The 26,373-nt window shown below is 40.2% G+C and overlaps 1 protein-coding gene across 2 annotated transcripts; it reads right to left on the bottom strand.

Moving 5' to 3' along the window:
* On the bottom strand, window positions 18,381–26,154 carry FASLG (Fas ligand). Of its 2 annotated transcripts, NM_000639.3 has the most exons (4): window positions 25,708–26,154; window positions 25,117–25,162; window positions 20,867–20,923; window positions 18,381–19,635 (listed from the first exon to the last, which is right to left on the bottom strand). In NM_000639.3, exons 1-4 carry the CDS (start codon window positions 26,053–26,055, stop codon window positions 19,241–19,243), a joined length of 846 nt encoding a protein of 281 aa, NP_000630.1. In that variant the 5' UTR covers window positions 26,056–26,154; the 3' UTR covers window positions 18,381–19,240. The 2 variants fall into 2 exon arrangements, with proteins under 2 accessions (NP_000630.1, NP_001289675.1); NM_001302746.2 differs by lacking the exon at window positions 25,117–25,162.

The following is a 26,373-nucleotide window of genomic DNA, read 5'->3' as shown; positions in this document are numbered from 1 at the left end:
ATGATCACTGTGCTCCACTCTCACAATTGTGAATGCATGAGAATAAAATAAATTAATGAATAAAAAGACTATTCGTGAGACAGAGTGACTTAAATAGAAATGAAAATCTCTAAAATTTTTACAGAAAAGCTAAAATTTAGCATGCTAAGGAATCTAGCATTCCAATCTCTGACCTTTCCACAATCTAGCATCTTCAAACTCCCCATTATCTAGTGTTGTGAAATGTTGCCTGGATTCTTCATGGGAAAAATGCCAACCCCCATCGCTAATACTATTGCATCTTGTGTACAGTCTATGTAGCTGTACACCTACAACCATCTGATCTTCAACAAAGTCAACAATAACAAGAAATGCAGAAAGATTCCCTAGTCAATAAATGGTGCTGAGATAACTGGCTAGCCATATACGAAAGATTGAAACTGGACTCCTTCTTTTTACCATATACAAAAATCAACTCAAGATGGACTAAAGACTCAAACATAAAACCTAAAACTATAAAAACCCTAGAAGAAAACCTAGCAAATATCATTCTGGACATAGGCCTTGGAAAAGATTTCATGACAGAAACTCCAACAGAAATTGCAACAGAAACAAAAATTGACAAGTGGGGCCTAATTAAGCTGGAGCTTGTGCAGAGCAAAAGAAACTATCAACAGAGTAAACAGAGAGCCTACAGAATGGGAGAAAATATTTGCAAACTATGCATCTGACAAAGATCTAATATCCAGAATCTATAAGGAACTTAAACAAATCAACAAGCAAAAAGCAAAACCCAATTAAAAAATGAGCAAAGGTCATGAACAGACACTTTTCAAAAGAAGACATGAATCCAGCCAACAGGCATATAAAAACATGCTCATCATTACTAATTATTAGAGAAATGCAATTCAAAACCACAGTGAGATATCATCTCACACCTGTCAGGATGGCTATTATTAAAAAGACAAAAAATAATAGATGCCGGTGAGGTTGCAGAGAAAAGGAGACATTTATACACTGCTGGTGGGAATGTAAATTAGTTCAGCCACTGTGGAAAGCTGCTCAGAGATTTCTCAAAGAACTTAAAGTAGAACTACCATTCAACCTAGCAATCCCATTACCGGGTATGCATCCTAAAGAAAGCAAATCATTCTACCAAAAAGACACATGCACGTGTACATTCATCACAGCACTTTTCACAATAACAGACATGTAATTAACCTAGATGTCCATCAACGATGGACTGGATAAAGAAAATGTGGTATATATATATATACCATAGAATACTATGCAGCCATAAATAAAATAAAATTATGTCCTTTGCAGGAACATGGATAGAGTTGGAGGCCATTATCCTAAGCAAATTAGTGCAGAAACAGAAAACCAAATACTGCACGTTCTCACTTATAAGTGGGAGCTGAACAGAGTACACATGTACACAAATAGGTGAACAATAGACACCAAGGCCTACTTGAGGGTAGAAAGTAGGAGAAGGGTGAGGATCGGAAAACTACTTATTAGATACTCTGCTCACTACCTGGGTGACAAAAACATTTGTACACCAAATCCCAGCAACATACAATTTACCCATGTGACGAACCAGCACATGTACCCCCTGAACCTAAAAAAAAAGTTAGAAGAAAAAAAATTTATATATATATTTAATAAATGATTGGATAAATTGATTTATAAATAAATGAAATGTCAAGATGCAAGAAATTTCAAGGTCAGAAGACTTTTTTTAATGTGAGATTCCAATTCCAAATGAAAGGGGAAGGTTTAAGTCAATTCAGGTCTTTTATAAGGCTTTATCATTGAGTATCTCAAAAGTGATGAGAAGAGTTTTCATTCAGTGATGTTACTGAAGTTGTTATTTGAATAGTCAATAATCATTGCACCAAAGGTTAGATATTCTTGCTCTAGAGCTGTCAGTGAAGCTTCTAGATTGTAAACCCCAGAGGATTTGGGAACTCAGTGTATTCTGTTTGAAAATAGAAATAACACTAGTTCACATACCCAGAGAAATTTAACCTGTATCACAACCTACTAGAGATAAAAGTAACCTTGAGTTTGCACTTACATCTGCGACTCCCTGTCACAGTTAAAGTGTCATTCATTCAACAAGTACTTACTGAGCACTCACTCTATGCTCATCTCAATGCAGGGACCAAGAATGCCATGGTGAGCAAGACAGACCGGATCCCTCACTGAGCTGTGAGCATATCACTTCACAATATCTGCCCCTCCCTTCCTCAACCCCCTGCATTTTCTGTATCTTGACCTTATTATGCCTGCCCTACTCTCTGGCAGGCGGAAGAAGAGTGCTGGGAGCTTGCTGGAATGCTACAGATGCCTGGCTGCACCACAAAAGAGAAGCTATCTTTTGTTTGTGCTCTCTTCAGATCCCTTTACTGCTGAGGAATTGCAGGTGCATAAAGGGAAATAAATAATCTCAATCCCCAGAGTCCCGCAAACCGTGGAAGGAACTTCTAAATGTTTCGAGTCTATGTGTTTCATCTACTGAGAAGAAAAATTGAAGACTACTCAAGCAAAATGACCTGGCTGCTATGGTAGGAGAATTGGAACTAGGCTTCTGACTCCTCGGCCCATCTTAATGCCTCTCCATCAGAAGGGCTGTCTTAAGCCAAAACCACCACGGCTAATCCATGGGAATGCCAGCTGAGAATTCTGTCCTGCTAAGCAATGTGCTAGTGTGCAGTATGGCTAATCTCAAACTCAGACACAAGGAGGTATGAGCACCCAGATGCTAGACTGCTAGAAGACACATCAAGCTTAAGAGGTCCCTGACACTTGATAAAATCATTGGTACAAATCCAATGTATGACAAAATTTCATAAGTCACACTTGTATTTCTGTCCTCTTCCATCAACCCCCCCATTGAAAACTCTCATGGAACTGAAGGCTACATTCAAGTGTGGCTTAAAAACCGTATTTTATATAAAAGCTAAGATCCAGATACAACCCATGAGTGGAGCAGATGGAACCAAATGCCATACCTGGCTGAAGTAAAAAACCCCTTTCTCCAAAAGGATCTCCCACCTAACCCATGAAATTACTATAATCCCCACCACTGCAATGGTCCTGATGGGCCTTATAAGGAAAAAAACACATTTTAAGTGTGTAAAGGCACTGAGTTACCTGAGAAGAATTACAAATTAGCCTAATACTTTCTCCAGGGTGAATTTTGAACTCATTCAATCGCCTACCATTATCAAGTGAGAGAATGAAACTCAAGAAGGCTGAATTTTGATAAAAGGCAAAAGATAAAGACAGAAAGAAATGGAGCCTCCTGGCCTGGAGTGGTATAACACCTTAGGTAAGGAAACTCAAAAACAAAGGGAAAAATTCCTAAAGTGAAAAGAGATCACCAGATATAAATGTTGCCTATTTAATTATCTTGAGCAAGTCTAAACATCTAGGGCCTACTTTGACCCACTTTCAGTTTGAGTTGAGAAAGAGCAAAATTAGATTTTAAAAAGAGTTGAAAGAAACATTAGTGATTAATGTTCTTTAAAGACACCAAACTACTGATAATCAAAATCAGATGCTATATTAAACAAGACTCTACAGGCGTGGCCAAGGCTTTGCAGACAACAGATAGACAGAGGCCCAGGTAGCATAAAGAGCCATTTCTGGACTTCCCAAGGGGTCAGTGTGGGCAAGACAGCAAGAGTACTAGGAAAAAGTTGTCTATCTAATATGAATTTCACCGCTGCAATTATACTATAAAATATTTGTTTGTTTCTTTTGGTTTTCAGAAGCAAAATTGTGTAGGTAGACCATGGCTTGGCTACTTACAGTATGACATTAGCGTATGTGCACACATCTGTGTTTTCTCATCTGTAGAAATGGAAATATCTACCATGCAAGATTGTTGTTAGAAAGTGCCTAGAATGGCCACTGAGTTTCTCCTCTCTACCTTCCTCACCAACCTCCTTCTTCTCCTTCTCCTTGCCACCAACTGCAGAATCTCAGTCCCGCAACAGCTGTCCTGCCTGAAATTCTCCCAGTAGACCTAATCACACCATATATTCCATAGACTTGTTATGAAAATTCATCTTATTTCTTTCTGAATTCAAAAAACCCTTGAAAAAATGTGTATCAGTGAGGGTCCAACCAGGAAAAAGAACGCCACTGCAAGTGTTTAAAATAGCAAATGTTTGCACAAGTAAACAGAGAGCAGAGAAGGCAATGGGGGATGGTGGGGCACTAGCCCCATTAGCCAGGCAGACAAAGGAAGGAGAAGTGATTACTAAAACCTGGTGGCCACTTGCAGAGGCTGGAGTCAAAGCCAGACTCCCAGGCAGTAGTGCAGACATGGGGAGGACGCAGCTGTTGGTGGAGCTGCTGTGTGAATCAGGAAGGAAGGGAGAGAAGTCCCAGATTCCTCCTCTCCTCTGCCCCTGCATTTCCCACCAGTGCCTCCAGAAGTCTGGGAAGCACAGAGGGCAGGGGCCAAGGCAGAGCAGGGGAAGCAAAAGAGACTCTGTCAGGGAGCAAAGAGACTAGGAAATGAACTGTCCCTAACACACTTCCCAATTGTCAGCCAACACCTTCGTTAACAGCTAACATTTTATTATGCACCTGTGGGTAATAACCTGAGAGCAAGACCCTTTGGGAAAGCAGGATTTGACAGTTTGAGTTCAAGAAGATGGAAAGCATCAAAGAATAAGAAAAAAAAATCCAGCACATTCATGATAAGAAGTTATAAAACTATAAGATATATAGGAAAAAGATTAAGAAATGCACAAAATCTATGTAAAGAAAACTATGACTTTTCTGAAGGAATATAAGACACCTAAATAAATGCTGAGTCACACCAGATTTTCATAGAAAGGTAAACTTTATAGTGTAAGGCACTCAAATTCCCCCCCAAGTTATATTATAATAAATTCCATGTAATTCTAATCAAATAGAATACACTATGGCAGAGAAGTGGGAGGAAGGGAGGAGCATTTGACAAATTGATTATAAAATCTGTATAAAGAATAAATATACAAAATTTGCCAAAAAGACTTTGAAGGAAAATGTTATAAAGGTACATATTTAAATATATTAAAATATATTTAACATATATGCTTAACAGTAGACATGTATATTAAAGTATATTTAATAATAATATATTTATTAAAATAAAGTTATTAGTCCAGTAATAAACAATGGGATCAAAAGAACAGAAGAGAGTTCAGAACCAAACCCAAGCACAAAGGGAAGCTTAGCCTAAAATAGTACTGTCATTTCAAATGAATCAGTATTTTTAAAATGGCATTGTTATCAGTTCTCTATTTTGAAAAAATTAAATTTACTACCCACCCCACAGTAAATAAAAATAAATTTTTAAATACATCCTGGAGCTAAAACACCAAAAAAACTTTATATTAGAAACAGAGAAAAGTAGATTTAATAGTTATAAAGTGAGGTAAGTCTAAGAGTGACAAGAAGCTATAAGGGAAATAGATTTATTTAAAAAAATTAAACTTTCTGCATGGAAAAAGTTAACAGAATACACAATGGGAGGAAACATTTGTAATACATGCAACAGATAAAGAGTTACCTTCATGCCATATAAAGAGAGGCCATAAACTCCTAGACTGGCTAGTTAGGCATACTTGAACAGGAAAGGGAGGGCCCCCCCGGGAATGTCAGGTGACTCTGAAATGAGAATTGCTTACAGCCGCTGCCAGGGGAAGATAATCTCCCAATAGATAGAAAACACCTGTAGCTAGTGATCAGCAGCTTCCTGATAAGATCTCAAGAGTTGAGTGAGCAGGCTCAAGCACGTGCTCTAAGAGGCAAAACGGCAGATGTATGACCTTCCTCTGGGGATATTTCACCAGTAAAGGAAAATCACCCCTAGAGAGCATGCACACAACCTCAGTAAACGTACTATGCATGTGGCCCCTCCCAGGTACTGGCAGGCCACTGCACATGTGGAGAGACCACCCTAAAGGAAGAATCAGGGGAGGAGAAATGCAAACCCCAAAACCAAGCCAATGTATAAAAATCCCAAGCCAAGGGCTCAACGGGGCACTTGGATCTCTCAAGTCACTCCCTTGGCCCTCTTCCAAGTGTATTTTGCTTCCTTTTGCTCCTTCTCTAAAACTTTTTAATAAAGTCTCACTCCTGCTCTAAAGCTTGCTTCAGTCTCTCCCTCTGCCTTAAATCTACTTCTGTCCCTCAGCTGAATTTTTTCTTCCCAGGAGGCAAGGATCAAGTTTGCTGCAGACTCATACAGCTTCACCACTGGTAACAAAACCAGTAACAAAAAGACAACAGCTTAAATTTTAAGTGAGTAAATTACATTAGGCAATTCACTAGAGGGGAATTATAAATGGCAATAAATAAAGCTAAAAATGAAAGTTTCAGCTTCTCGAATATTTTTTAAATGCAAATTTTTAATAAGATATCATTTTTGCCTGTCAGTCTTATAAAAATTTCTACAAATGATTATATAGAATAGTGCATATAGTATAGAGAAAAGATACTCCTACATGACATGGGTGGGAATGTGAATTGGTACAATTACAGAGAGCAATTTGACAATAATCATCCAAAGTTATAACGGCCCGGGCATGGTGGCTCATGCCTGTAATCCCAGAACTTTGGGAGGCCGAGGCAGGAGGATCACATGAGGTGAGGAGTTCGAGACCAGCTGGCCAACATGGCGACACCCCTACTCTACTAAAAATACAAAATTTGTCAGGCATGGTGGCACATGCCTGTAATCCCAGATACTTGGGAAGCTGAGGCAGGAGAATTGCTTGAACCTAGGAGGTGGAGGTTGTGGTGAGCTGAGATGGCATCACTGCACTCCAGCCTGGGCAACAGAGTGAGACTCCATTTCAAAAAAAAAGGTATAGTGTATAGTTTATGCCTTGCCCTTCCAATTCTACCTTTTTATCTTAGGGAAATGCACAAAGATGTGTGTGTGAATGCTGCAGCACTTTTTTTTTTCAAAGAGCAAAATTTGGGAATAACCTAAATGATCCTTAGCAGAAAACTAACTGAAAATGTGATGGTGTATGCAGAAAGCCATTAAAAAGAACAAGCATATCTGTATTTAAGGAGTAAGAGGAGATGCCCATATTGTTTGTTCAACTATTCATTCAGCACATTTACATTGAGCACCAGAATAGAAGTAGACATGGACCTAATTGGAGAAATAGACAAATAGGAAAAAAAAAAAAAAAGTCTAGGAAATAATTACCATAGGTGCTGTGAAGGAAACAGAGTGAAAAATAGTAGGTGTAATCCTTGATTCATCTCTTTCCCATGCACCCAACACCAAATCAGAGGGCCTGAAAACTCTATCAAAACATATGTCAAAATTTTCCACTTATCTCCAATTCCCCTGAAAAACAAACTATGCTTTTCAGTGGCTTCCCTTAGTACTAACAATATAATCTAAATTCCTCACCCCAGTTTACAAAGCCCTACTGAATCGGTGTCCCGGTCTACCTCTCCAGCATAATCTCTTGGCATCCCTCGATCCTAGCCACATGGTTCTTTATTTTATTCCTGCTACATGCCAAGCTTTTTCTTGTTTTTGGATCACTGATGTTGCCTGGTGGTTTTGAACAACCAGGGAGAAGGAAGGCACCCCCAGAGGGCAGTTTGGAAATGAATAGGGGTCATATTTGGTTGTCACTGACTAGGAGACCTACTGTCATTTAGGCACTTAAGAATGCTAAGTGTATTGCTATGTGCATTACAGTCCCACATAATAATGCATTGTTTTATCCAAAATACCAAAAGCGGGCCTGTGAAAAGCTGTTTTATCTATCTAAAATGTTCTTTCATCTAATAATTGCACTGGCATTTTAAATGATACTTCCTCAGAGAGATTTCCTTCTAATGTAGTTACCTTGTCTCTCTTTCCATTAAAGTTTCATTCTATTTTAATTCTCTCCATAGCATTTATCAGCATTTGAAAATTTCCTAATTTATCTATTTGCTTGTTTACTTTTTCCATTCACCTTCCCCACTCCTCCAAACTGGGCTGTAAATTTAAAGGGGGAAAGGAAGATATATCTGTCTTGTTCACCATTCTATTCCCTAAACAATGCTTGGGACCTAGTAAGTGCTTAACAAATGTTTGTTGAATAAATAAAGAATATTGGCATTATAATGGGGCAGCATTATTACAGGACGCCAACACTTACCCAAAGGTAGCTGTTGGGTCAGGGTGTTTGCACTACGGTCCTTCCTGTGGTCACCAGAAATAAGTTACAGGAAAGGGGTCATGATCCAGACCCCAGGAGAGGGTTCTCTGATCTCGCGCAAGAAAGAATTCAGGGTGAGTCTGCAGTGCAAAGTGAAAGCAAGTTTATTAAGAAAGTAAAGAAATAAAAGAATGGCTACTCCATAGACAGAGCAGTCCTGAGGGCTGCTGGTTGCCCATTTTTATGGTTATTTCTTGATGATATGCTAAACAAAGGGTGGATTATTCATGCTCCCCCTGTTTAGACCATATAGTGTAACTTCCTCACATTGCCATGGCATTCGTAAACTGGGAATGTAGTAGTGGGGACAACCAGAGATCACTTTCATGGCCATCTTGGTTTTGCTAGGATTTAGCCAGCTTCTTTACTGCAACCTGTTTTATCAGCAAGGTCTTTATGACCTGTATCTTGTGTCGACCTCCTATGACTTAGAATGACTCCTGTGACTTAGAATGCCTTAACCATCTGGGAATGCAGCCCAGTAGGTCTCACCCTCATTTCACCCAGCTCCTATTTAAGATGGAGTTGCTCTGGTTCACGTGCCTCTGACAGTATGAGCCTATTTGGGCTAAGAGTGCTTAGATCAAACCAGCCTGCTCTTGAATCCTAGTTCTGCTGTGACCTTGGGAAAATTATTTACCCTCTCTGAAACTCAATGAGTTTTTTTGGCTTTTTTTTTTCTCTTTTGAGGTGGAGTTTCACTCTGTTGCCCAGGCTGGAGCGCAATGGCGCGATCTCCGCTCACCGCAACCTCCGCCTCCCAGGTTCAAACGATTCTCCTGCCTCAGCCTCCCGAGTAGCTGGGATTACGGGTGTGCGCCACCGTGCCTGGCTAATTTTGTATTTTTAGTAGAGATGGGGATTCTCCATGTTGGTCAGGCTGGTCTCGAACTCCCAATCTCAGGTGATCCGCCCACCTCAGCCTCCCAAAGTGATGGGATTACAGGCGTGAGCCACCACGCCCGGCCTCAATGAGTTTTTAATTTACAAAATTGAGCTAGCAATGCTTGACTTGTGGTTGATGAGGATTAGTAGACATAAATGTAGGGTGATTTGCATAATCCTTATAAAAAGGGAGTCAATAAATGAAAACTATTATTGCTCTATGTATACTTCATAATTTGACTCAGGGAAAGAACAAGTCTTGTGTCCAATTATTTTTAGATAAAAAGTTGATATTCATATAGTGAGTCATAAATGTGAACTTGGTAGTAGGGCAGAAAAAATCATGCCCACACTCATCTTTCTTTCAAAAGTGAATCCAGCTATCTGGCCATCTCCTCCCACTGACTACACTGCCTTCCAGAACTCCCTCCAAAAGCAGTCTTTTCCTGTACTTTTAGAAAGTTAGGAAGAGCTAATTGGCCAGCCTAGTCAACAACCTCAGGGAACCCAAGAACAGAGCACTAAAGGAAGTATGAACCATCCCAGTCCCCTGCCTGGCTTTCTTCTGGTCCCCACCCCTCCCACACCCCTCCTAAGACAGACTTTATTAGAAGCCAGAACACAGCCCACCCAAATGATGGAAAGAGGATGCTGAAGTTTGAGATTAAGTCTTCCCTTGTAGCTCACACTTCAGAGTTCTGTTTAACACCTTGTGTCTCTTTCTCACCATCTAGTCAAAACTGTCATCTCTTCTCAATGAAGTTGCGGTGAGGAGAATAAATACATTTCCTGTTACCAGAATCCCCAGTGTCTACAGTCTTTAATCTCTGTTGGAAAAGTCTAGAATCTTAGTTTGTAGGTTTAGGGCCAGGGAAAAGCTTCCTGAATCTTGCAGCAACCTTTTCTTCCAATCTGGACCAACTTCTAAAACTTTTCCTTTCGAAAAATGTGTATGAAGTTCCCTCCCACAGACTAGAAGTGGTGCAGGAGTGGTGTTTGGGTGGAGTGTGTGAGAGAATTGGACCCTAGACAAAATAAAACTAAAACATCCTGGCCCAGAGAAACGTTTGCAATGTCAGTAGATGCTTATCTGATTCTCTACTCTCCTTGGCAAAAATTCTTGTCTTGCGTTCAGTGTTTTACATGTGTGGACACTAAAAGCTTGAAAATATCCAGAATGTCTCTTACTTCAACTCACATTGTCTTTGAAGTGGTTCACCCACCAAAAGCCAGGGCTGCAACACAAGAACCAAGAAGTTTTATTCCCTCTGTGGCAAGCAGCACTGGAGGAGGGGGATTTCCTCAGCAGTTCACATCCCCTGGGATGTCCTGGGTGGAGTGAAAGCTTTAACTACGTATAAGGATAACAATGAGTTTAAGCATTATGTTACCCCAGTCAAACATTTAAATATCACCCTATTTAATTTTGTTTCAGGATTAAAATATAGGCATCAAAAAGGCTAATCAAGCCATGCACAGTGGCTCATGCCTGTAATCCCAGCACTTTGGGAGGCCGAGGCAGGAGGATCACTTGAGTTCAGGAGTTCAAGACCTGCATGGCCAACATGGTGAAACACCGTCTCCACTAAAAATACAAAAATTAGCTGGGCATGATGGCAGGCACCTATAATCCCAGCTACTCGGGAGGCTGAGGCAAGAGAATCACTTGAACCCGGGAGGTGGAGATTGCAGTGAGCTGAGATCATGCCACTGCACTTGAGCCTGGGCAACAAAGCAAGACTCTGTCTCAAAAAAACAACGGCTAATCATATTAATCTGTGCATACAATTAGCACAAAATATATTAATGTATTCAAGTAACATTTATAGAGCATATGACACATACCCACAGCTGCTTTTCTGTGTATTATTTCACATTAAAAAAACAATAAAGACTAGAGGTATGAGAAGATATTTTTAATGGTTATGCCAATGTGAGATAGTATTCTTTTATACCCAGAGAGTGAGATTTACCTACCCATTGTTCCTAACTGGCTTTTTTATGGTTGATGAGATTTTATGTGTGGTAGGTCAATTTTGGATGGTCAATTTTGTGGGAATATTGAACAGTCAGAATTTTTTTAACAATGACTCTATCAGGAAAGTTGCTGAGGAATATAGCAATTCCACTGACCTACCTTCAGGAATGCATTTCCCAGTCACAAACTGGCTTCATTCCATTTGGCATTAACAACATTCCTATAAAGTCGTAAGAATAGAAATCAGCTTCCTCATTTTACAGAGGGGATAAGTGAGTCTCAAGATGTTCATGTGACTTACTTAAGGTCACACACATAGCTAGTTGAGTAGCAGGGGCTGGACTCAAACACAGGCCCTCTGATCGCAAGCTCAATTTCTTTCCTTCTTCTCTTATTAAAACTAGGATGCTATTGGTGGCATGGAGGCAATAGGGGCAATTCAGTTAGATCACAGGAGAGAGAGAGAGAGAGAGGGAGAAACTAGTAACTGTCAGGAAGTAACTAAAGAAGAGACTAAAGAAGACCACTATCTATTAGGTCCTGATATCAAATATATATTTATTAATATATTATCATATTTATGTTATATAGTGCAGAGTTATAGATATTAGGCAAAGTGAGACTGAAATTGAAAAGCAAAGAGATGAACGTAAAATAAGAGGTGTCACTGAAAATTAATGGAATGAGGCTTATGGTGAGTGCCGTATTATAAGGCATAATTCTAAGAAGTCTCTTTGCATATGGAAACTCTAAAGATAAATTTTAGGTCTAGATGACTAGGATGAAGTTGCAGCACCATTTATTCGCTATGTCACCTTTCAGTTGTTTTCATGTATAAAATGAGGATAACAATTTACCTTACGGGATTGTAGTGAAATTTGAACAAGATAAGGTAGAGGAGAGAGATTTGTAAGCTATTAAATGCTGTATGAGGCAGCAAAAAACTATGGCCAGTGTTTGCAACTTACCATATGGAGGATTTCAATTAAATCTAAGAAAGAATATCCTATAGTGTAATAATATAGTCCAGTGCAGAATGGGCTCCCTCATGTTTCACTGAGCCCCTTCTCCAGGAAGTTTTCAAGCAGAGGTTGTGTGGCCATCTGTTGGAAATGTGGCAAAGAGGACTTCCATCTTAGAAGGGAGGGCACCTAATATTATTTCTAATGATTACTTCTGAATCCAAGATCTGCGATGAGTGATATTTGGCAACTGGGGTGGCAGTTTCAGGTTTGGTACAAACTCAGTAATGTGTAGCAGGAAACAGAGTTCTCTGCCTCTATCACAGACTGTGCCTCCAACATGACAGCAGCAAAACCCCAACACAATAGAGTGGCACCAATATCCACCCAGAATACATGTTTATGCACACACATACGTTTACACACACATGTTAATTGGGCCAAAAATCAGAGAATTATCATTTCACCCACTCCCACATCCAGTCCATTAGCAAATCTAGTTAACTCTGGTATCAAAAGTACTTCTTAACCACTTTATTACATTCAACACCCTGGTTCAAGCCACCATGATCTCTCATCTAGGTTGCTGAAGTAGCCTTTTTACTAGTCTCCCAACTCAGTCTTGACCCACCACAGTCTGTTCTCCATAAGCAACTAGAATAGTCCTTTTACACTGTAAATTTGGTCATTTCACTCTCTGCTCTCGGTCCTCTAATGACTTTCCATCACACTTAGAATAAAATCCACACTGCTTTTCAAAGCTTCCAGGGCCCTACACCATTTGGTCCCTGAATACCTCTTCAATTTTGTTTCCTGCCAGCTCACTCCAATGTACAAAGCCTTTTGGTCTTAAGATTTTGCACTTGCAGTTTCTCTGCTTGGTGTGCTCTTTCCTAGATGTCCATGTGGCTTGTTCTTTCACGACTTGTCATACAAACATCCTTCTTCCATCACTCCCTACTGCCTTACCTTGTTTTTCTTTTTAGCACTTCCTACCACATGACTTATTAAATATTTATTTGCTTTTTTATTGTCTACCGTCTCTCCATTAAAATACAATGCTATAAGGGATTTCATTCATATGATTGTATCCACAGTACCTAAGGAAGTTTCTGGTAGACATTCAATAAACACTTGTTGAATGAGTAAATGAATGAATGAATTATACTATGAGTAAATGAATGAATGAATTATGCTATTTCAAATACTAGAATTTTTAATGGTATGCTTAAGGAGATATTTGTAGCAAATTTGGGGAATGGTGATGATGTCTAACACTCATTTTTAGGTGTAGTTTATTCTGTGTGTGTCATAAGGTAATGTGTCTCCATTGCCTCAAACCTTCAGTTAACTTTATGCACAGCAACTTGTGGTAGTAATGCCTGGAAGGCAATAAAGGCATTCCACAGTGGGAGTGTCAGGAATGCAGACAGCATATCCACTGCAGAAACCAGTGAAAGCCAGGAAACCTGCAATAATGTGGATTGCCCAAGGGAATAAGGGTCTACCCTGACATCCTCAAAAAACCTGAAGACTAAACTTTCCCCAGAATGTGAAATGAGGCTTATGTCATTCTATGGAGAATTAGAAGAAAAGAGTGATCCCTTAGGGCTGAAGGAACCTCCAAGTAGGGGAGGAGGAATATCTGCATTGCCCTTTTTCTGAAGATGTACCAGTCAGAACTCTGGAAAAATGTTTCCCAGTAAAGGGGAAGCTTTGGTAAAAGTGAAAAGTCATCACTGGGGTGAATCTTTCCTATCTTCTGGGTGAACCTGTAAGGACAGAATACCCACTTAGCTATCTACATTGCCAAGGCAGGTTGGCTTCCCAGTGAATCCCAAAGGTCCCTGGTACTGTCAATGACTATATTATTTCTAAATAGGATTTATTTCTGAACCCTCCTCCACAAAGAATGGGGTTCTAATCTCCTTTTTTAAGAATCACCTCATTCTGTCTTTGGATAATCCAAAACCTTGGGAAAGAAAAAAAAATCAGAATGCAAAAATTTATCTCTACAAACACAAGAACTTACCCAGACCCCTTAGAAAAATGTAACTCATTCAACATGTGGCCTTCACACTTCCTTAGATAAGGACCAGGGAAAGTCTAGGGCTTAACCCGCTGAGGAAATTTATACCATGGCTTTGGGAGAGGCAGGCAGCTTCTCTCACCAATTCTTCTCTTTCTATGAGCAACTGTTTCACGTAAGTCACACTCACAATGATGCCCCCACAATAGAGCTCTTTTCCTGTTAAGCTGTGGTAAGTCAAAACCTACTTCAGAGACGACAAAGTCACCACTTTGGGGGACTGAGAAAAGAGGTGAGTTTCATGTGTTTTTGGTTGCTTGAAAAGAAAAAAAAAAAAGAAAACCTCAAACTACTGAACTAGAAGCACCCTTTACGTATGTGTTTGTCTGGAGTGTTCTACTTTGGATTTAGCATTTCATAGAGGAACAATGCCAATCCAATTTTCAATAAACATATTTAAAAGTTTTTAATTTTTTACATTTCTTATGTTCCAACTGAGGTTAAAAAAAAATCAAAGTTCCAAACGGACAGTCAATATCTCTTCTCTGGAATCAGTGAAGCATAGCGAGCTACAATCCTACCTTCAGAAAGTCCCAGAGGCGTCCTAGTACAGCTCAGACTTAGGAAGATGAAAGTGCCAGTAGTATCACTACCAGCCGATGGCATCATGTCAGCTCAGAATGCCCAGCCCCTTTCCCACTTCCTCTGTGCTGTGGTACCATTATCTAGAAGGGTCCATTAGCAAAAGAATCATGGTCTAGCAAACTTCCTATGACCCTTTGGAACTGGCATACTTGATGGTTGAAGCCAAAAGAGGAAAGACAGGATGAGGAGGATTTCACCCTGAGGGCTAGAATACAGACCAGCATCCAGCCAAAGGAAAGGTAAATGTACCTATCAGACTTTCTCCAGGAAGCACCAGCTCAGGAACCTGACCCTCCAGAGCAGATGAATAAATACAAAAGTTTTAGGGAGAGCAGATGACACATTCCAAAGTGAAACTTTGGTTTTGTTCATTAATTTATTAGACAAGTATTTGAATATACTCTAAATGACAGTTTTACCTCTGGTGACCCAGCAGTTTTCCTTGTCTCTGCCCTAACTCCTGGTAATGCCAAGGACCAAATATATCCTTGTTGTTTTCCAATGCCATGAATTAGAATGCATTAGTTTTTTTCAATCTGTAACCTCAAAATACCACTGGATAATTTACTCAATGCTGGATAACCACTCACACACATTCAAGATGTGTCACTAATATAGATTCAGAGTACTCCTAAAAACATATGCACATATATAAGCCAAGAGACACCTGCCTTATAACTAAGGTCAACAAATATATATTGAGTTTCTAATGTGTGTCAAGCACTAGGTGAGTTTGTGTGGATGGAGTGGTAAACAAGGTTGAAAAAAACCCAAAAAACCTTGCTTTTGGAAATTTTATTCCAGTGGAAAAAAACAAATATTTTTAAAGTGGTCAAAATATATATAATCACAAGTTTTGGTAAGTACTAAGAAAGAAAAAAATAACCATAAAATAATGACAAAAGGAGGGGACTCTATTTAGGATACCTGAGGAGATGACACTTGAATGTCACATGAGAAACCTGAACCAGAGAAATTCTGGTGATGGAAATGGAGCCCATGTGCATGGAGACAGTCTGTCCAGATGTTTGTCTCTCCTGGGAAACGAGAAACGCAGTCAGAGCTGGGGATAGTGAGGGGTAAAACAAAAAGTTTTCACCTTGTTTGGTCTGGAAGATGCAGGTGGTTTGGTCTGGGTTGTCCATTAATGAAAGGGGATCTGCCCAGAGATTGCATAGTTCGTAAGTGGAAGAATGAAGGTTTTAATCTAAGTTTTTAGTCCAAAGTCTATGTCCTTTCCACTATGCCACTTCTCTGCCCCCAGGCAAAAACAAGTAACCATGACATCTATAGAAATTTGGATGAGTGTAACACTGGTCATAATATTGGTAATGGAAACTCTGGGAGGTGGAGAGCAAAGACAATGTATAGAGAGAAGGAAGGCCTGGAAAGATTTGCTTCATAGTTCTTCCCACCCCAATAAATTATTCTTTTTTTTTAGACAGAGTCTCACTCTGTTGCCACAGGCTGGAGTGCAGTGGCCCCTGATCTCAGATCACCACAAGCTCCGCCTCCTGGGTTCACGCCATTCTCCTGCCTCAGCCTCCCAAGTAGCTGGGACTACAGGCGCCCACCACCACGCCTAGCTAATTTTTTGTATTTTTTTTTAGTAGAGACGGGGTCTCACCATGTTAGCCAGGATGGTCTCAATCTCCCGACCTCGTGATCCACCGGCCTTGGCCTCCCAAAGTGCTGGGATTACAGGCATGAGCCACTGTGCCCAGCAATAAATTATTCTTAAAGATATGTGCATATATACATATAAAGATATGTACATACTTGAACAAATGTACATAGTGTTGGAAAAGATATATACATACTTGAACAAAGGTACATACTGTTGGAAATGATTTCATATACAGGGATAATTTGAGGATTTAGAGGAGAGAAGAAAATGTTAAAAAGGGACAAGGAAGGGAAGAGGAAAGGTGAGTCTAGCAGACAAGTGAAAATTGTCCTATTTCTCCACTGAGACCAGGTGGAAGGAAGAGATCATGCAGATGCAGGTGGAATTGTGTTTTTGTGTAGAAGAGAGTTGCATAGTGGGAGGAAGGCATGTGGTTGGTTTGCAAGAGGAAAAAATATAATGTTATTGACTCTATAAGTAAAGAAAAATGCTTAAGATTGAACTGAAGAAAAGTGCTAGACAATGTTGAATGACCACTGAGTTCATCAGTGTAAGGTAGAGGTTCTCAACCAGAGGCAACTTTGGCCCCCTCCACACCATGGGGACATTTCGCAATGTCTGGAGATATTTTTTGGTTGTCACATGTTTTGCGGGGGGGGGGATGCTCCTGGCATCTAGTTGGTAGAGAGAAAGGGTGCTGCTAAACATCCTACAGTGTACAGGACGACCTTATAGCAAGCAATTTTTCAGCTCAGAATGTCACAGATCCATGGTTGAGAAACTCCAAAGTAAAGTGATTTCATATTTATATATATATCATCTCTGCAAGACAATGTTAGGAAACAGTGATCCTCTCTGCGGGCAAAAATTGAGCCACTAGACAGGGTGGAACGAGGACTTATTTTTGTCATATATCCTTATGTATCTTTTAAAATTTGTACCATGTACATGTACTACCTATTCAAATCAATCAAAAAATAAAACTAAGTCAGTGACAGATCAATCATTGATTGATTTAAATTCATGTTAGATAAAAATAAACTAAAACTAGGCAGCCTGTTTGTGTAATTTTTGTCCAGCAACATCCAGCTTCTGGGATGACAGCTTAAAGAAAATAGGATTTTTGCAAGGGGAATACATTGGAGGAAGAGAGTATTTTGGAGTTGAGAGTCTTTCCAAGGTGCTGGTTGTCATGACAGATGATGACATTTATGCTGGACATAGAGAGAAGTGAAGACGTGGAAGGAGCTGATGTGTATATAAGAAAATAATAAAGTTTATTAATTAGAAGTCTCAATATTTTCAAAAATATTTTAGAAAAGAAAATGTTGGACCAATTCCGCTGGAATAATAGAAGATGATGTTGTGAAAATAAGACACCTAAAATCAAATTCCAAAGGAGTTACTATAATTTTTAATGATAACAAAGTCTAGGGAGAGCCCATGATAGTGAGTGGTTGAAGAAAATAGGAAAAGGCCGTTGTGAATGACAAGCATGAGAATACAAGAAACCAGGTGCTTAGATGGATCCCACAGATCAGTGGCCTCTGGAGAATGAAGTGGCTCTAATAGAGTGGCTTAGTAGTGGCAGACACTATTTTTTGATGTTCTATGTGTCTGATACTTTCAGCTCTTTTTTTGTTCAAGGAAGGTCAAGTGACCTAACCAGTGCTTACATAGGCAGTACGTGGAAGAACAAAGATTCAAATCTAAGTTTTTTAGTCCAAAATATGTGCCCTTTCCACTGTGCCATGGTTCTGCCTTCAGGAAAATATAATTTCTCATCAAATCTATGGAAAGTTGGCTAAGCTTAACATTGGTCATAATATTGGTAATGGAAACTCTGGGAGGTGAAGAGGAAAGAGAATATATAGAGAGAAGGAAGGCCTAGCAAAGGCAGAAAGATTTGATTCATAGTTCTTCTCACTCCAGTAAATTATTCTTAAAAGTGGTCTGATATCATAATGAATGAAGAAATCAAGGAGGAAAGAAATAATAAGCAAAAAATTCAAATATTAGTAAATTCTAAAAATTATTTGTATCCTAACATATACTTTTTATTACATGTTTTCATTTCACAAAAATGCACATCTACATAAATATTTATTATATTATAGGAAAACATCATTAGTAGCTGACAATCAATGATTTTTAAGCACTATTAGAGTTGATTGTCAGGAAGCATTCAAAATCTTGACCAAATGCAACCCATATTTTCCTAATATGTACTTCACAATATCTACATTCTCTCTTTAGTCATACACACACACACACACACACACACACACACACCCCTACAATTGCACTGGAAATACACATGCTGTGTTAGGAATGAAATGAGTCCCCAAAACATCTCTCTTGCTTATCTGTTAGTTTCACCGATGGCTCAGGATATGCATTTAGAAGTGAAGATGCTGCCAGTGGGGCATTGGCCTCTTTCAGCCTCTTTAGCTTATTATGCAAGCCTCTAGTCTTCCTTTTCCATCCCTTAAATCCTCAGGTCACAACCATGTATCTGAAAGACAGTCCCCCTTGAGGTAGCAAGGCCCACCTTGAGAGGTGAGTTAAAAGGTGTCCTTTTCAATCTGCCTAAATACTCTCAGGCACTAAGATGAGTGTAGAACACCTGGTAGCTGCTTTTTCATGCTTCTCCCTCTTCACATGGCAGCCCAGAGTTCTATGTTCTTCCGTCATATTCCTCCATTTGTCTGGCTCATAAACATTAGGTGAGTTGAGGAGCTACAGACATTTTGAACCCTGTGGTCTCAAGGTCCACTTGGTTCATGTCTTCTTACTTGACCTCAAATGCATGTAAGAAGACCCTCACTGAATACAACATTCTCGGTGCCTGTAACAAAGAATCATAATGGAAAGAATCCCAAAGTGCTTCTCTTAGAGCTTATATAAGCCGAAAAACGTCTGAGATTCCTCAAAATTGACCAGAGAGAGCTCAGATACGTTGACATATAAATGATCAGCACTGGTAAGATTGAACACTGCCCCCAGGTAGCTGCTGCGGGCCCACATCTGCCCAGTAGTGCAGTAGCTCATCATCTTCCCCTCCATCATCACCAGATCCTGGGGATACTTAGAGTTCCTCATGTAGACCTTGTGGCTCAGGGGCAGGTTGTTGCAAGATTGACCCCGGAAGTATACTTTGGAATATACAAAGTACAGCCCAGTTTCATTGATCACAAGGCCACCCTTCTTATACTTCACTCCAGAAAGCAGGACAATTCCATAGGTGTCTTCCCATTCCAGAGGCATGGACCTTGAGTTGGACTTGCCTGAAATAAATCCAAAAGGAGCTTTCAACAAGGAATAGTCATGCATCCAACAAACTAAGTTTCTAAGGCAAAACTGTGGGCCCTTCCTTCAACAAATGTTTCACCCAGAATGACAGCTGGTATAGAACTGGCTGAGGGGTCAGAACTTGATCCATCACAGAATTTCCTCAACAACGTTGTCCTATTTTGTCATCCACACAATTGGAACAATAGTATATACCCGTAATCCATTGCAGTAAGAAATTATTGAGAAAATATTTGCTCTCTGGAACAAAGATTTTACTATCTTCAGAACTAGCACCAAATCTGCTAGGCTTTGAAGTCCTTTCCTGAAGGAAAAAGCCAAATCCAAGGAACTCTAAAGTTCTAAAGTTGGGAAGGATCTTAGGGACCATCTGGTCCATCTTCTCACCTGCAGTAAGAATTATTCAGCCCCTCAATTTGGGGTACAGTTCCCTTTTCTTTGTATCCCCACAACATCATGAACATAACCTAAATCTCTGAAGTACTGAAATTATCATAAGTGCCTGTCTTTCCCTATTAGATGTCAAGCTCCCTGGGGGCAAGAGCCATGTGCTACTCATCTTCACATCCCCAAATTGGCACACAGCAGGTATTCAGTAAGTGTCTGCTGATGTGACCGGATCATTCTATAATTTCTGCCTAAATAATTCCAGGGACAATAGCCTACCACTTTCTGTGATATTTATTCCATTATTTATGTAGTTTATAATGGGAGTGCCCATACCATATCATTTCACTCCACTTTACAGGCACATATTGAAACTCTACAAGTGCCAGGATTGAGTCTCCCTTCTCACTCCTATTTATACTCTTGGACAAAGCAGAGTGAAGCTCTTCCAGAAAACCAAGAAAGCACTGACTAAAATAAGTCCTCATTCCTCACCTTCTCATCTCTCACCTCTTGGATCTGTGCCCCCAATCCCCCAAGGGACTTTGGAATGACTGAAAAGAATGAGCTTCTTATGGGCAGGGGTCATGTCATAATCAGCTCCAGGTCTCCAATTTAGAAGAGGGCCTTGCCCAGAGAATAGGGGATCAAAGTGTGTTCATAAGACTGACTCGACAAGAAAAGTGTTAGTATTATTGGGTTCAAATACTGTCTCCAGGAAGTAACAACTCTCTAGAGCCTGGTAATGGAAACCAGGCAGCCATTTTGCCTTTTGCCAAAAGCTTTCCCAAATCTCACCTGTACCTTCCAGATACAGACCTGTTAAATGGGCCACTTTCCTCAGCTCCTTTTTTTCAGGGGGTGGACTGGGGTGGCCTGTATCATAGAGAGAGGAAAAATATATGTTAAAATGAAATAGCAACTATTATTTTGGTGGGAATTTAAATCCAATCATTTTAAAAAAAAGATTTTAAAACCGTAAATGGCAACAGTCTAACATATACTAATCATGTAGGTCTGAACTGCAGGATTCATAGTAGTCTATATTTCAGAAACAAAGAGGTAAAAAAATAAACCAAATTAAGATTGACATATGTATAAATTATAATGTTACAATAAAACATAATTAATATAAACATTTATTCATAAAGAGCTGTCATGTCAGTTATTGCATTTAGAACTCACCACAACCCTTTGAGGTAGGTATTATTGTCCCACCTTATCGATTGCAAAATGAGCTTAGAAGTTGGGTGACTAATCCAAGAAGACCCAGCTAGTCAGCATCACAGATGGGACCACACCCTGCTCTCCTGACGCCAATTCCAGGGCTCTGTCCACTCTGATTCTCTTGTTCCAAAGACTTACAGGACAGAGGCTGAAGAAGACTACTGATCTGTCTGCGTGTCACCAGATCTTCCCCCAGTGACATTTTACAATCTGCCCCAAATTAATTATCTTAAGACCTCTGACAATCACCTCATATCACTGAGTCCTCAAACACCTTTAATTGCTCCTCCCCGAAGATGCCGTCGTATACAAGTATCCCCATCACACAATCCCAGCCCATCTGTCCAGCCTTATCTCCTTACTCCCACTGAGCATTGCCACACAACGGGAGTTCTGTGGCCTACACATACCCCCACTTTCCTTCCTCTGTGCCTTTGTTCATGCCATGTCTTCTGCCCGTAATGTTCTTTCAAGCAGATTTCTGTGTCAAATTCCTAAACATCCCATAAGGACTACCTATTACCGCTTTCTTTGGGAAACCCTCTCAAGCCTTTTTTGATCAAATATGATCTGCCCCTCTTTTGAAATCTAGGATCCCTCTGTCTTCCCCTCTCTTGTCATTTCTGACTCCTCTTGTCTCTGGGGTAACTACATAAATTATCTTATTCCCCTCAAATAACGACAAGTTCCTTACGATACGTTGAGTTCACCAGAGAAGCCCAGTTTCTAACACAGGGCATGTTACTAGCAAATGTTGGACAAATTAAATGGAAGGATAGACAATAGTTCTCAAAACAGACACTATTTCTCTGACTTCAACTGTTTCAGACAAGATAGACAGCTGCCACTTAGCTAATGAATTCAGCTAACTGAGACTTCAATAAATATTCACAGGAGATGCTTGTCTATGTCAGGTTCGTGATTAGCCTGTAAAACTCACATATGGTATGAGAATGGCCCAATCCACAGAGAACATTAGCTGAGCAATCATGACCTCTCTAGTCATCCAAGACAACCCACCATGTAGGAGGTGTTAGCGAACAGGAAAGGCAAAACTGAGTCTCCTCTGCATTCCTACACCGCAAACCACCCGAGCAACTAATCTGGCACTCAGCCACGCACCGGCAGGAAACGGAACAGAGAACCACATGTTGCATGTCTTTATATCCCTCACAGAGCCTAGTACAACGTTATTCTTACAGAACATGCTCACTAAGAATATCTGCTGTACCTATACTGGAATAAATAAATTGCAAGGATATCCTAGACACTGGTTATGAGTGCTTCCTGCCCCAGGGTTTTTGCATGTGCCGTTCCCAGCGCTGAAATGCCCGCCCCCAGCCCCACCCCACTCCACAGCACATGCACACAGCCGTTCACTCATCGGGCTTCTGACCCCCAAGGTGTTAGCGTAAACAACACCTCCTTAAAGAAGATTCTCAGGTTGTACTTAGTACAACTTTGGAATTGCATGGTCTGTTTGCTTGCTTTTGTTTAGCTTCTTCCCCCTGCTAAAAGCTCCATAAGGACAGGCCCCCTGGGCTGGCTCATCCTCAATCAGCATCCAACACCCAACATCTAGCCTCACACATGTGAATGAATAAAAGATTTAATTAGTTAACCGGAAAAAAATGGAAAATGTAAAAAGGAGCAAATTAGAAAGTATAAATAATCTATAATAGTATCTCCCAGAGAAAATCACTGTTAGTATGTCAGTGTGTAAAACTTTCCAGTTCCTAAGAATATAAAAATGTGCATACATGGTTACATAGTCAGTATGAAACTAAACATACCCTTTTGTAACTTGTCTTTTTATCTAACAATACAGAGTGCACAATCCCCAAAGCATTAAATGTCCTTCTGATACATCACTTTTAGTTGCTGCTTATTATGTGCTTGTCTGAATACACCATAATGTATATAACTAATCTCGTATGAGGCATTCAAGTTTCTTCTGAATTATTTATTATAAATAGGCTCATAAGGAAGTAATGAACATCCTTATATATAAATCTTCGGGCACATCTCTGATTATTTTCTTAAGATAAATTCTTAGCGATAGGATTACAACGTAAACTACTAGTTACAAGCTTTTGCTATGTATTTCTAAAGCGCTCTTCAAAAAAAGTTATAGCAATTTACATGTATACTGGCTGAAACTAATGTTTGCACAGGCACTTTTCTCTCAAATCTTTGTCAGTCTGGGTTTTTTTTTAATCTTTATTAATTTGATGAAAATTGGTATTCCCTATTTTTAATTTGCATCTCTTTTCTTATTAGTAAAGTTACTGATTTGATTTCCATGTGATGATTTACCAATTTCTGGTTTATTTGGGTTGATCTAGAGAACATAATTGCTTACTGGGGTAGATGGATCTGACTCACCTGATCATTTGACTTTTAATCACTAAATTGACTCCAGAGAGTGGGTGAAAGATGAATAATTAGATACCTATCAGACCAGGCACATTCCACAGATTTTCAAAATGATCTTATTTCAGACGTCCTCCAGAGGCTTTACTTTTCTATCAAATATTTCCACTCTGCTTGTGTACATATGGACTTTCTAACATTTAAGGATTAGGACACAGAAGCAGGGGCCAGAGCATCCCAACAGTGGCTCATATAAGAACTTAACAGTCTAGGATAGTAGACAGGCGACTGGGTCATGTGCAGTAGCCACATCCGGAGAAACTGGAACTTGCTTCACTTAATAGATGGCCAGTGCTGCCTTCTTCTTTATTCTGAGTTTCTAAGGATGAGATCTACCTATAGTCTTTGCAGAGGTATCCTGCTTTTCATCTATTTCTTATTCCATGCTCACTACAGAGAGACAGGAGTTTCCCTCCTTCATGAGGCACCAGTCCAGTACTGGAAAGCCCTGTAGGTGACAAGGCATCAAGAGCCTGTGTTCCTTCTAGCCCCAATGGCATACCAGTGGTCTTGGGCATATTCACCTAATCCATCTGGTATTTTGTTTCTCTTCCAAAAAATGAAATGGCTGGACTAGATATATTCTAAGCTTCCTTCCACCTCTAAAAATTCAATGAATCTCATTGTAAATCTAAATCTAAAATTTCAATGAATCTTAGACTAGTGAAGCACACTGTAAAATCTATCTGTACAGAGCTTGCACAACTATGCCCTGAAATTTCATGAGATCAGTGTTCAACCTATCATCTTCTTGCCCTAGCTCCCATACAAAGGATTTTCCTTTGTGATCAAGGGTACCTCATGACTGCCTCTGTGGGTGAAGCTGAACATCCTTTGAATGATGGCTGAAGTCTTCCCTTAAGCTTCTCAGTGACTTCAAGAAAAACCATTCTAATGTGGGGAATTGATTATCCATGTTTTAAAAGCTTACATCCTATAAAACATATTGTAAATAAAGCTTCAATGTAATCTCTTTAGGGCATTTAAAAGAGGAAAGGACGTTTCTCAGAAACATCTGTCTCTGCCTTCATTTCGCCTTCTCTTCCCAGGAGTTACAGCCACTGGCGTGTGTGCCAGGACCAGGATGTCTGTGGAAGGGGACAGGCCTGGAGCCACTTCTCAGGGGGCAAAGGTCCAGGGTTGTATATGTGTGTCTCTTTCCAAAGTCAAGTGGAAGTGATTTTGAATTGTGTGCAGTGCTCAGCTATATTGATTGTGAGCAATTCAATTCACTTCACATTTTTAAAGCAGCTCAAGGAATCATAGACCAGAGATTCTGAATTAGCCAGAATTCCTCTTATAGTGTACAGAAACCAAAGTGTGGGACAGAATTTAAGGCATTCCATTAACATAGTTCTGTGCTGAGGATCATCTTTGGGAACTCAATGTACATGCGAAAAAAGACTCACCTATTTGCTTCTCCAAAGATGATGCTGTGTGCATCTGGCTGGTAGACTAGTAAAACAGAAAGAGAAAAGATGTATAATAAAAATAAAATTCTTTAAGCAAAAGAGGCAGAATCGTCAAATAAACCAAGCCCTGGAAAGAGAATCCAAATACCTCAGAAGTTCTGCTAACTTGGGCTTTGGCCAAGCAATTTTGCCTCACTGTCCCTCAGTTTTGTGATTTGGAATCGTACCAATTTTCAAGATTTAGTTTGGTCATCTGAACAAATTTACTTCCAAGCAAAACTTAAAAGTTTTGTTTGTTTGTTTTTTACTCCTTAAATCAATAGGTATGAGGCAGTAAGTGGTTCAACAGACTGAGTTGACAACTGAGGAAAGACAAACTGTTGGGCTCTGATTCTTTACAAAGTAAAAAATATTCCCTTCACCCCTATGAGCCTCCATTTCTCTGTCTATAGAATAGAATAACTAGAACAACCCATTTCTAAGAAAAAAAAAAAAAGGATTGAAAAGCACTTTGCAAGCCAGGCAGTGGGCCCTCCATCCCCTTATGCCTGGTGCCTCCAGGGCACAGCAGTCTGCCGGCAGGCTTACCTCTCGGAGTTCTGCCAGCTCCTTCTGTAGGTGGAAGAGCTGAAACATCCCCAGGCCCAATCCTACCAAGGCAACCAGAACCATGAAAAACATCACAAGGAGACACAGGCCTGTGCTGTGGTTCCCTCTCTTCTTCAGGGGTGGCAGCGGTAGTGGAGGCAGTGGTGGCGGCGGCGGCGGAGGTGGTAGTGGTGGCGGTGGCGGTGGTGGTGGTGGCCTCCTTTGACCAGGCCTTCTGGGCACAGAGGTTGGACAGGGAAGAACTGTGCCTGGAGGGGCCCAGGGAGAGCTGGCACTGCTGTCCACCCAGTAGATCTGGGGATATGGGTAATTGAAGGGCTGCTGCATGGCAGCTGGTGAGTCAGGCCAGCCCCAGCAAACGGTTTTACTTCTTCTCAGTCCTGTAGAGGCTGAGGTGTCAAGGACGGGACCCTGTTGCTGACTGCTCAAGAGGAGGCAAGCTGGATCTCTCTTATAGAGTTTCCATAGCTAAGGGAAACACCTCTGTCTTTCTCTTTCTCTATCTCTCTCTCTCTGATTCTGCTTCTCAAAGAAACACCCACTCACTTTGCAGCTGAAGCTGAGAAGCCTCAAGAAGCTCAGAGCAAACCCCTGGAAGTTTCCGCCCACAATTTTCTGATAACAGCCTTCAAGGCCTCAGTTGCT

The sequence above is a fragment of the Homo sapiens genome, chromosome 1 (genome assembly GCF_000001405.40).
Source record: "Homo sapiens chromosome 1, GRCh38.p14 Primary Assembly".
Classification (NCBI taxonomy): Eukaryota; Metazoa; Chordata; class Mammalia; order Primates; family Hominidae; genus Homo; species Homo sapiens.
This window is presented reverse-complemented; position numbering and strand designations above follow the sequence as displayed.